Source organism: Homo sapiens, chromosome 6, assembly GCF_000001405.40.
Source record: "Homo sapiens chromosome 6, GRCh38.p14 Primary Assembly".
Lineage (NCBI taxonomy): Eukaryota > Metazoa > Chordata > Mammalia > Primates > Hominidae > Homo > Homo sapiens.
The window spans coordinates 72,229,417-72,242,758 of NC_000006.12; the positions used below are offsets into that span (position 1 = coordinate 72,229,417).

The 13,342-nt window shown below is 32.0% G+C and overlaps 1 protein-coding gene across 89 annotated transcripts in view; it reads left to right on the plus strand.

Moving 5' to 3' along the window:
* Positions 1-13,342, plus strand: part of RIMS1 (regulating synaptic membrane exocytosis 1) — a 516,596-nt gene that overhangs the window by 342,867 nt on the left and 160,387 nt on the right. For all 89 annotated transcript variants that reach the window (NM_014989.7, XM_017010517.3, XM_047418419.1 and 86 more), the window contains 4 exons: positions 4,357-4,424; positions 6,202-6,312; positions 8,407-8,506; positions 12,898-13,021. In NM_014989.7, coding sequence (NP_055804.2) covers positions 4,357-4,424; positions 6,202-6,312; positions 8,407-8,506; positions 12,898-13,021 — 403 coding nt within the window. The remainder of the gene's footprint in view (positions 1-4,356; positions 4,425-6,201; positions 6,313-8,406; positions 8,507-12,897; positions 13,022-13,342) is intronic.

Genomic DNA, 13,342 nt, shown 5'->3' on the forward strand with positions numbered 1-13,342 from the left:
ATAGATTGTATGATTAATGATTAAATTTAACAAGTATGTCTTCGCATTTTATTGTAATGCCTAGATAATAAGCCCTATTAAATAATATTTATTTCTTATCCCTGACCTGTAGTTAGGTGAAATTAGACTTTCTAGGACTTTGCTGTATAGCAAATTATTGCTTATTTATCCCAAAGTTAGCTCCTCTATTATGTATAATTTAGGGTAAGTGGAAGCACACTTTTCCATTGCAGGCATGGAAACATCTTAAATAGACTTCTAAAATATGAAGAAACATTTCAAAATATATTTTCAGTATATTAATCCAGAGTTAAGAGTTTATCTTAGTTCTTAGACTTCAGATTTTAACTCTTGTGTATGAGACTGTTTCCCAAATGAATATCCCTGTAAAATATTAAAATGTTTATATTTTTAATATCACAGTGTAACTAAAACAGTATTTAACTCACGTATGCTGACCATGGTATGTGTCCACGTGTCAATATCTTACCTTGTCTCAACTTAAAAACCTATTCTTAGAACTCAGTTGGCTTTTTGTGTATGCAGTGCATAAAAACATTCAATAAACATATTTTGTACAATGCTTCATTCAGTTCCAACTCACATCCTGCTATAGAGGACTCAAAAAAGTAAAAGAGGAAAATATTTTAAGAGGTTCAGGAAATACCTGGGAAGGATAATTGTGATTTTTGGTCTGTGAAGTTTACATTTTTTTGAATGAAAATCTATTCTATTAATATCTAGAAAGAACAATCTCTTTTTGAAGGTGACCACATGTATGTATTTGAAATTGCTATTCATTGCTGTGTTGCTGTGAGCCAATCTTAGAATTGGTTTGAATTCCATCTTTTACTATTATTCATTATAATGATGTTAAAAATATGCTGCATATTACTTCTAGAGATAGTCAAGAAGTTCAAATTTTCTAATACTTCAAGGCTTTGGGACAGATAAGCTTTCCTTTACTACCTGCACATTAGGTACACATTCCACTTGGTCAAGTAGAGCTGTCATGTAAATTGCTAAATAGATATTTAATATATGAAATTAGAGGAATGGTTTTTTTATATTTTTAACATACACATGCTCAATCGTGCCTGTATATTATTTTGAAGGGATTTTTGTTTAATTGGCATTGATCGATCTTATTGAAATCCATTGCGCTTTAACACTAGACATCATGATACACAATTCTAAATTATAGAGATAGAGTTACATGTTTATGCCTTGTTACATACTCTAATCATAATGACCTGGGTTTAGGAAACACTGGTTCTCTTTAGAGAAAATGTATGTGTAATTTAGCTGACTTTTATTTCTGCACTGATAGTTGGGTGTTTATTAAGTTTAATAACCTACTTTTTCACAAGGGATAGTATAAAAATTTTAAAATCGCTCACAAAATATAATGCTCAAAATTATAACACTTCATTGAACTTGGCTAGTTATGAACTTGAGACATTTCCATAGACACAAGCAGCTGACGTATTTCCTGATTCTAAATTAATGGTAATAGTGAATTAGTTCCTAGGACGTTTTATTGACTGTGAGGACCAAGGTGCTTTTGTATTGACTCCATAAGCAAATACCATGAATTTATCATTTTGCAGCTATGCCACCTGGCAGCCAATATCTTTAATCAACTATTAGAAAAGTGATCAAGGAAAATGTTTTGTGTTAATGAAATATTAGACTCTGAATATTTTAGGAGCATGTTTTGTTGAGTGTTGCTTATTCCGTTAATAATAGTGAAATCTTAGTTATAAAGACAAATTAAGAGTGCTTCAAAGTTCAGTAATATCTTTCAAACAGTAATTAGAGGGATAGAAGAAACAAAGGTAGTTTACAACTAAGTATTTAGATTTTAGATTTTATTTTTTGTAAGTCTTTAAGCAAAAGTGTTATATTTTAATGGGTAATGATGAAATTAGTGATAAGAAAACTATTAGCCATTCAGAATATGAAGGAAGTATAATTGTATACTAAAATATATACAAATATTGTATGCTAAAATAATGAATGTGTTTTTTACATTTACATTTGTTAGCAATATTTAGTAGATAGCTACAAAACTGTGTATGGCCAAAGTTGGAAAAAATAAAATTTGTTTAAGCTGCAATATCTGTAGCATCCATTTTATTACGGGATACTGTATGAGTCCTGGCTCCTCACTGGAATCATCTGACAGACTATGTGTAATATTTATCCAGTACCAAAGCAATTAAATTAGATTCTTCATTCAGCATCATTATTCTGCAAAGCTTATATATCATAGAATAGCACTGCTTGATAGCACTGTTTTCATAATAAAGTGTGTTGAGTATCACCATTGAATCTTACCCAGAAACATCAGCTTTTGGTCCTTTGCCTATAAGAACAGTTTTTTGCAGATCGAATATTCACGAATATATGTATCTCATATGGTGGTTCAACTCCATGTTTTACTCATATTTGATTTATAATATTAATAGATTTACTTAGGATAATATGAGCGAAACAAGGGGTTGAACCGCCATATGAGAAATTGGGGCATGAACCAGAGAAGAATCCTGAGGAGTAGTTTTCAAGACCTAAGTCAGGTTATTGAGGGATACAATAAACTTTTGTTTTCTTGAAGTGTTTAAAGTAGAAAGAATTTTTGTCATTTTTTTAAACTTCAAAGACTTTTTAAGGTAGCTTTTGAATTAATGATCAATTTTTCTTTTTGGGGGAAATATAATTTTCTTTCTCTTCAAATATCTCAGTGTTTCTATTAATTTTCACAGAATTTCAAAATGAATCAGCATTCAGGAAGTCATTAGGCATTTTTACTAAGTATATGAAATTATAGGATAGAGTTTTACAAATTGCAATAATTACCTTTTGAATTATAACATTTGTGTTAGTAGTAATTTCAATTTTATTAATATAGTTTTTCTTTCAGAACAAGCTGTCATAATACTAAAGAGAGAGCTACTTTAAGAATAGTCGTGAACTTTTACAAATAGTAAATATGAAAGAGAAGAAAAGTTCTTTTCTGACTTCCTAATATTCCATTAACTGAGGTGGCCCAGTAGGAGTATAGAGATTTATCTTTTTTGGCATCAAACCATGTATACATTTTTAAAGTATGTGATTTGGAGAGAGATATGGAATCTATGTGAAGTAAATTTTAACAGAATATAGTTTTTTCTAATGAAATTTCTAATATTAACCCCTGCATAGAATATACTACTGTAATCTACATGAACATTTGAAAAATGTTTATTGTAGTACCTGTATAAATAACGTTTAAGGAAAAGGGAAGCAGTTCCTAAAAAATTGAAGTGTATGGATTGAAGTGTATGGAATTGAAGTGCCTGAATATTTTAAATATTATTAAAAATTATTTCATGTAGCATTTTGTTTATAGTGCCTGTATCTGCAGTGCCTGTCATGTACATACAATTCTTTACCTATGATCTTTACAGGCATCAACCAAGCATATTTTCCCAACAGTTGATAGCTCATTATTAACTAGCATGCTTTACTCACTTTATGTTTTTCTCTTTCAAGATCTATGCAGAGAAAAATTTTATTGAGTTAATCTGATGTTGAAAATTTAAAAGGGAATTATTCCCCTGCTTTCCCTAATATCTCTTCTCATGTAGGTTACCCAATTTTTCTCCGGCCTTTCATCCTATACAAATACTGAAAGCACTGATACTTTCCATTGAAGTTTTTTCAGTTTTTCTCAGATGCCTTCTTTAGCATTATATTGTTAAGCCAAAAGATCAAAAATAAAGGTTCATAAACACATATTTACAAAGTTAGAACTTTTGAGTACTCTGTCATTTGTAGCCAGTCTTTTGGAAAAAGTTATTTTTCATATTTATTTACTCATCACTGTGTCCCAAAAAATGTATGTTATGTTTTTTAGTTGATGAGAGAAGATAAAGATCAGATAATAATTTTGAAAGATATTATTTAGTTCAGAAAGTATAAAGAGAGACACTATATTTTAGTACTTACCTCATGTCAATGAATAAAATTTTAGCCAGCATCACTAGATAGCAGGTTGTGGCTGGGTATGGACTGTCCTTTAAGGCTAGGAGGGGCAGATTAACCCTGTTTTTTTTTTTTCTGTACATTTATATGTTTCCAGACTGATTTATGAGAGAAAAAGGTAGTCATTCATTGTATGAAGTGCATTTGTAGCATACGTTCATTCCAGTGATTCAAGTCACAACCTTTGCAACACAGGTGTGCATCATTCTGCGATGTACACGCTCAAGCTTATGATATTAAAACTCTTTATAGATCGAAGAAGTAAAGCTTAAAGTGATACACTCTTCTCTTTAATACCATTACACTTTTCATTCTTTTTGTATTGCACAGGTGATTTGGATTATTACTGGTTGGATCCTGCCACGTGGCACAGCCGGGAGACATCACCTATTAGTTCGGTAAGTTTTCTGGAAAGTGTGTTTGGAGTTTAGGGAATATGTGTGCTCGTTAATTGTCCTTTGTCTGATATGTGATATCTGCTCTATTATTCATTTGGTAAGGGCAAATATTGATTTCATTTAAGATAGTACAATTTTGAAGAAAAAAAGTTATTACTGGATAATTATAACAAATTTTAAATTAAGTAAAAAACAATTATTAAATAATTACTATAAGTAAGATTGAGATGTTTGGTTATGGATATTGACATTAACAAGTCAACATACAGAATCAGTTTTTTTATGTAAGCAGATATATTTTTAAATTTTAATTAATTCCATTTTAGAACTATTTAAAAATGTATACTTATTTGCCAACCACTTTAAGAAACTTTTAGTATAAATTTCTGCTACAAATGAAATATAGTTCTAAATGAAAATTTTTATAAGCCAAGGATGGAGTCCACTGAAATAATTTCCTCTAGAGTGTCTTTTAACTGAAGAAATTGCATCATGCTGCAACCAATAACTTGTGTCTATAGGAAAGAAAGCAAGTTGTTTATTTTTAAAAAATTTAATAGGCCTTTTTCGAGCAGTTTTAAGTTTACAGAAAAATTGAGGAGAAAGTACAGAATTCCCATACACTTCCTTACTCCACCCCTTTCCACCTGTTTACCTTGTTATTAACATCTTGCATTAGTGTGGTCCATTTGTTACAACTGATGAGCCAATATTGATGTATTATTATTATTGACTAAAGTCCATAGTGTACATTAGGGTACATTCTTCATGTTATACATTCTGTGGTTTTTAACACATTTATAATGTCATGCGTCCACCATTACAGTATCACACAGAATAGTTTCACTGATCTAAAAATCCCTGGCACCACTTATTCATCCCTCTCTCCTTTCTTCCCCACTAAGTCCCTGACAGCCACTGATCATTTAGTTTCTATAGTTTTTCCTTTTCCAGAATGTCACATGGTTAGAATCATACAGTTTATAGCTTGTTCAGATTTGCTTCTTTCACTTAGCAATATGCATTTAAGGTTCTTCCCTGTCTTTTTGTGGTTTGATAATGCTTTTATGTTTGTTTTTATCACTGAATAATATTTTTGTCTGGATATGCCCAGTTTGTTCATCAATTCCTTAGGATTTTAAAATATTTTTAGGTTGATATTATAAATGAAAATATTTTTCAATAATGATTTCTAAGTTACTCTGCCAGTTGTTCCTATTCTCTTTTATTTTATTTTTTAATTGACACAATAATTGTACATATTTATGCAGTGCATAGTGATGTGTCAGTACCTATAATGTATAGTGATCACATCAGGGTAATTAGCATATCCATCATCTCAAACATTTATCATTTCTTTGTATTGGGAACATTCAATGTCCTCCTTCTAGCTTTTGGAAACTATATATTATTAACTATAGTCATCCTATAATGCTATAGAACACCAGAACTTATTCCTCCTGTATAGCTGTAATTGTATATTCTTTAACAAATCTCTCCCTACCCTTTCCTTCTCCCTACCTTCCCAGCCTCTATTATCCTCTATTTTACTTTGTACTACTACAACATCAACGTTTTTTTAGCTTCCACATGTGAGTGAGAACATGCAGTGTTTAACTTTCATGCGGGAACTAACATGTTCCTGGCTTATTTCACTTAACATAATGTTCTGCAGTTCTATCCATGTTACCTCTAATGACAAGACTTCATTCTTTTTATAGCTGAATGCATTACATTCTGTATATATTACTTTTTAAACTCATTCATGTTTTAACAGCATCCTGTAACGTGGCAACCATCTAAAGAGGGGGACCGATTAATTGGACGTGTTATTCTTAACAAGAGAACAACCATGCCCAAAGACTCAGGTGCATTGCTGGGTCTGAAAGTAAGTATGCTGGTTTAAAATGTTTCTTAAAGGGTGAATTACAGTATGGTCTGCATTCATCGGAGTTTCTGGCAATGATTTTTAAATGTCATTTAAATATTTTATATAATTTTATTGATATAGCATATAGATATGTTAGGAAAATTGAATAAAATTTAGGGAAACTAATGTATTCTGACTATAAAGTTCAGGATGATTTTTTGCATTAAAAAGATTTAAATGGAAAGTAGCATAGGTAATGTGGACTTTTGTTGTAACTTAAGCAGCAACATAAACATCATTAAAGGGATCACTTTCTAATTACAATAGTTTTGTAAGAATTTTTTAAAAATTAATGTACTTAATAGTGCTGTCTTATTGATTATTACCATTAATTACTCCTGCTATGAAATAATTCTGATTACCTCCACTAATGGGTATGCCACTAAGAATTGTGGATGAATCTCAACTTTTGGTGATATTCTCTTCATTTTAAATTATATATATTTGAGCCCCTGCATTGGAAGAACTTAAACATAGATTTTAAAATATTCTATAATAAAACTCAGACTTTGATAGTCTTATGGGCATAGATACATGTTTCAGATGAGATGGTCAGCTGCAGAGATGCATTTAGGCTATTAAGCTTTGCACAATGGTAAATTGCTTCCCAAAGGTGTCATTTTCTTGCTTTGAATCTACAGTCTTTATAGTCATAGACCTACATTTTACTACACATATACAAAAGAGATTAAGATCTGATCAAGAACTGATCTTGACAATGGGATATTATCTTCATGTAGAAATAATAATTCAACTGGTACACATGAATTTGGATGATAAAGAAAAATGAATTTTAATGTAAACAGTGTCAAACACTTGCTGTTTGATACTAAGTAGGGAAGACCTGGCACCTGTCTTCTATGTATATGCATTATTTATGGTGCCCTTTTATTGTTAGGTCACTTTAAGACAGGGCTATTTAATCTTTTAGCTTCCCTGAGCAACATTGGAAGAAGAAAAATTGTCTTGGGTCACACTTAAAGTACATCAACACTAACAATAGCTGATGAGCTAAAAAAAAAAAAAAAAAAGCAATGTTTTAAGGAAGTTAACAAATTTCTATTGGGCCACATTCAAAGTCATCCTGGGCCACTTGTGGCCCACTGACAGCGGGTTGGACAAGCTTGCTTTTAAGAAATCACTACAGCCTGGGTGCAGTGGCTCATGCCTTTAATCTCAACACTTTGGAAGGCAAAGGTGAGAGGGTCACTTGAGCCCAGGAGTTAGGAACCAGCCTGGTCAACATAGCGAGACCCCTTCTCTACAAAATTAAAATTAAAAAATTATCTGACTGTAGTGTCTGCACATGCCTGTAGTCCCAGCTATTTGGGAGCCTGAGGTGGGAGCAACACTTGAGCCTGGGAGTTCACGGCTGCAGCCATCTATGATCACATCAACACACTCCTCTGTGGGTGACAGAGTGAGGCCTTGTCTCAAAAATAGAAAGAGAGAGAGAGAGAAAAAAAAAAGGAAGGAAGGAAGGGAGGGAGGGAGGAAGGGAAAGAAAGAAAAGAGAAAGAAAGAAATCAGTACACAAACTTCCTTAGGACACATAGTCATCTCAAATATGAGATGTTTTGTTTTCAAAACTGTGCTCCCAGCTACTTTAATCAAAAATGTAGGTGAAGCCCTGGTGGCTCACACCTGTAATCTCAACACTTTGGGAGGCCGAGGCAGGAGGACTGCTTGAGCCCGGGAGTTCAAGATCAGTCTGGGCAACATGGCAAGACCTTGTCTCTACAAATAATTTTAAAAATTAGCTGGGCGTGGTGGTGTATGCCTGTGGTCTAGGCTACTTGGTAGGCCAAAGTTAAAGGATCACTTGAGCCTGGGAGGTCGAGGCTGCAGTGAGCTGTGATCATGCCACTGCATTCCATCCTGGGTGACAGAGCAAGATCCCATCTCAAAAAAAAAAAAAAAGTGCTTCACTTCATTAATGTTTCTACATGCAATTTCAAGTGTATCATAAAAGAATGTAGGATTAATTCCTCAAACTAATAAGCTTATGTTTTAGTATGAGTCTTGGAAACTTATAAATTTGTAATTATCCAGGTTGTTGGAGGAAAAATGACTGACTTAGGACGACTTGGTGCTTTCATCACCAAAGTAAAGAAGGGTAGCCTAGCAGATGTAGTTGGACACCTAAGAGCAGGTAAAGTTTCTTTTTTTAATATTTAAACAGTGTGTTCTCCATGCATGAACATGAATTGGTGGTTTTCAATTTGGGGTTAGTTTTATATATACATACATACATACATGTATGTATGTATATATCAATTAAGTCACTAAATTTTAATGCACGAATAAAGACTTATTTCCTGATATAAATATTTACCAATTGCAATAATAAGTAACTCTACATCAGCAGCAATCTGGAGAGTAAGGGTAGGAATCTTCTTTTTATAAAAATAAATAGATGTAAAATATAGAAGAATTACTCATCTTTGTAGATGATGTCATAATGCTACAAAACTTGAAATCTAAAACAATTTATCTTTGAGAAAAAAATCTTATATCACTATTTAGTTATTTAGTTTATATTTTAAGCTACAGTAATTACCAAATTTTTTTCAGAGTGGTCCTAAAACACTTATTCAGGGGCAGTGTTTTTTATAAAGCATAATCATAATCACATTTCTTATACAGATTGTATAATAAAATATTAGTAAATTTAAAAGTGACTCATGTAGATGTGCTAATTCTTGGTATTTAGAAATTTATTTTTGTTGCCCTATAACTGAACATGACACAATGAAATTATTTAATATATGTAAATGTATCATATATTAAATAGTAACACATTTTAAAATCCATTTTTGGTAAATTGTTTGCTTTTCATTTTTGTTAAAATCACATTAAAATATTTCTTCCAGTTGACTTGACTGCAGAGCTTAGTAGAAATCTTTTGGTTAGATGGCTGTTTATGTATTTGCCAGACAACTATAAAGGAAACAGAGTTGGCTGAGCTGTAGAATTAAAGATTAATAACCCATAACACAAAGAGTACATTTCCAGGTGATATTCTTAACTTTTAAACCTTAAGTTTGTGATTCTTGAAAACTTTGGCAAAATATTCTAGGACTCTTAAAGACTTTTCAGTATATTTGTTTACCAGGATATCAGTTCAAAATCATTTTCATTTTTTTTTTAATTTGACAAGGACTTGCTGTGCAGGTGTATAGGAAGAAAACTCTAATCGGATTTTTCTCCATTTGCTATACAACTTTGAATATGTATAGAGATATGTTACACTGTTATTTCTTATGAAGGACCAGTTATGATTCAGTAGGAAAATAACTCAATCAGGGTTGACTCTGTCAGTAAACTGAGTGTGTGTTTGTCTAATGACTCAAAAATAAGCCTCAGAAAGTCTGAGAATCCCTTGTTGGCTAATGTAAAATAACTTTAACTACAGAAACCTGAGTTTGCAGACCACATTATAAACATTATATACACATTATAAACACATTATTATGTTTTAATAGGAAGTTACTTAGGAAGTAAAAGAAGAGGGGTGTTCTATATAAAATATCTGTTAGTGATTCATTTCATTTAACACCCTTATGAGCCAAGAGCCTGAGAAACTTAAATCTGAAATGTTAAAAGCTCAACTTAAAGAACTATAAAACAGACAAGTGTACTTTTCATTCTAAGCAATTTATGTATTCGAAGAAAGTGAAGTGATTTTGCAGACTCAATCATATATCCTATTTGATTTACATTATAATTTAGGAACTGACTAAATATTTGCATTTATGCAAATAGAATTATTTGCATATAAACATCCTTAGCCTATAAAACTACGGTGCAATCAATGTGACTTTTATTTAACATTTGCAATCTTGTTTTAATCTTGCAATATCTTTATCCAGTCCTGCCCCGCTTTAAGTCTGTGCACTCTACTGCTACTTCATTTAACCTTCTAAAACACAAAAATGACACTGACACTCTGTTTATTATGAAGATCCTTCGGTGTTTCCTAGTTATCATTTGTTCAAGTCAAAGCTCTGTAGCCTTGTCCTCTACTAACACTTTCAGCTGTCCAGGATGTTGGTCCACCTGTAGGTTCCTGTCAGGCTGTTTCCCACCTAGAAGATGTGGTCAATGCCTCTTGTCTACCTAGTTTTCTACCACTCCTGTTGAAGGCCTTTCCATCCTTCACAATTCATCTGAAGTTGCCTTAATTCTGAAGTGGTTCCTAATATCTCACCTGGAACAATAACTAACTACTATGTCCCTGGCACCACTTGACTCTATTTCTGGTCCTCAAATGAACTTCTATTGTTGCATATAAAATATTTTATTAGAGTTGTTTCTTTATCATTTCTTCATGACCAAATTTAAAGACAGATAAAATGTCATTTTCATCTTTGTACCCTCATTGTCTACATCCCTGCTTGATTATCCATACATAAATAATGTAAAAAAAGCATTATGGTTTAGGAATTATTAATCTGTAAATAAACGTATGTATTAACTTAATTTGATATTAAAAGTTATGCGTCCAGGTTGCCGCTTATAAAAAGGAGAGTTTTAAAATGCAGTGCTTTTGCAAACTGCTGGTTGCAGCTCATTATTGGGTAGTAAAATCAATTTAATCGTTTGCATCTACCACTTTAAAAAATTGAAGTAGAACATAATAGAATAGAAAAATCAGGGTAAGTATTGTTTCATAAATGTTTTTTAGTGTATATATATATGTATGTACTCATATAATATGAATATATATACACACGCACATATATACATGTTCATATTATATGTGTACAGGATCATGATGTCAACTTTGTTTCTTGGTCAAAATATTTTGAAAGCACTCTTAATATATTATAAATTTGTAATTATTATATTTCTTTTTTCTTTTTTTTTTTTTTTTTTTTTTACAGTGAAGTATATTCATTGCCTATTTGAAAAGCTTTTCTAGGTAACAGCTTAGGGCAGTCTATTAGAATTGGTGGCCGGGCACGGTGACTCACACCTGTAATCCCAGCACTTTGGGAGGCTGAGGTGGGTGCATCACCTGAGTTTAGGAGTTCAGGAGACCTGGCCAGCCTGGCCAACATGGTGAAACCCCGTCTCTACTAAAAATACAAAAATTAGCTGGGCGTGGTGGTGCATGCTTGTAATCCTAGCTACTCAGGAGGCTGAGGCAGGAGGATCGCTTGAACCTGGGAGGCGGAGGTTGCAGTGAGCCGAGATTGCGCCACTGCACTCTAGCCTGGGCAACAGGAGTGAAACTCCATCTCAAAAAAAAGAATTGGTGATTACCATAGTATTTTACCAAACCAAAGCAGCATCATGTACTTTTTGCATATTTACTTTTTACTCTTCAGTGAGCAAACAATTGGAAAAAATAATTACTTTAAAGTAATACTAGCAAAGCAATTTTCCTACTTTTATTTAAAAAATTCTAGGTATACATTGAAAAGATTTTATGCTTATACTTGGCTATAAAATGTATACTGATGATATTGATCCAGTATTTCAACACAAATTTACTTTGCTCATAAAATGTTCTAGACACTGAGAACAACAAAATAAGCATGAGCATCAACAAATTAAGACACCTCAGTGCATCGAGGTTGAAATATTTCAGCTGAGACTACCATTTTGAAGTGAAGAGTCTAAGGCAGAGAACCGTTTGGTACCTACAACTTCTTAAATATTTATGAAAATAAATACTTTTTTTCACGTGACCTATGGTGTGAAAACCCTAGTTAAAATAACAACTGTAAGTTGTTAGCCTGTATTTTTTTAATGCAACATCTTTTAACTCCCCTTGATTAATCTTAGAATATTTAACAACTATGTACTGTATTAATGTTTGGTTATTTTAAAGTGTGTTCTAATTGTACTTTAATGTTCACAATATAGATTATGTATAGTACATATGTGTTTTGAACATCTGGAAGTGGGTTGACTGTCATGCAACAGTTTTACATCTGCTTGCTTTGTAATTTTGCCATAGCTACCTGCGTTAACTGATGGGTGTGAATTCAAATCCTTTCATGCATTTTTATTCTGTTGTGCATCTGGTGAAGACACTGAAGCATGACTTGTAATTGGGAAATTCATGCTAACAAATATTAATTGCTCTTTCTTCCAAAAATAAAACAGGATTTATGCACAGTTTAATAAGAATCTTTCAAAAATAGAGCCGCCTACATTTATTATATGGAGGGCATGCTGCTAATTATTATTTTTTAATGTTTCCAAATAGGCTGTGCTAATTCCATCCCATAGCATGAGATTATTTTTATATGATTTCTGGTATATCTCAAAAGATAAAGGTAGTTTTGTATTGTACTGTTTCCAGTCACCAGTAATATTCTGGGGGAAAAAAAGAAAAACAAAAGAAAAGAAAAAGTGTTTAGAAGAACCATTTAGCTGACATTATATGGCAATCAATTTGCTTTTGAAAGCAGAGCCTAGACAATTAAACTATTTGTATATGTTTTGCATTTCTTTGTTAAAAAAGAGAAAAGATACGAAAAATAAACAGAATATATAAGGTAAAAAAATACCCTTTTTTTTAAATTCAAGGGGATGAAGTTCTAGAATGGAATGGTAAACCCCTGCCGGGAGCTACAAATGAAGAAGTTTACAACATTATTTTAGAATCAAAATCAGAACCTCAAGTTGAAATTATTGTTTCAAGGCCTATTGGGTAAGGCTAAAAAAACTTACTTCTTAAGTTTAGTAAATTACATGTATTAGTAGGGTTTTAAAAAGAATTTTATACATTCATACAGTACATGTTAACATGGATAGTTTTTGCATCAATTATGGGCATACATTTTTAGATTACTAAAAATTTCTTAATTTTTTAACTGGAATACTGAGTTTACTTCACTACATTTTAGAAGCTCCACACTTTAACAATTGTAATATCAAAAAATATCAATATGTACTTTTTGCAAGTGAAATATAAAGTAAAATATTTTCTTTTAATGGCAGATATATTTAAGTAATTCTAATTTAATAAGTA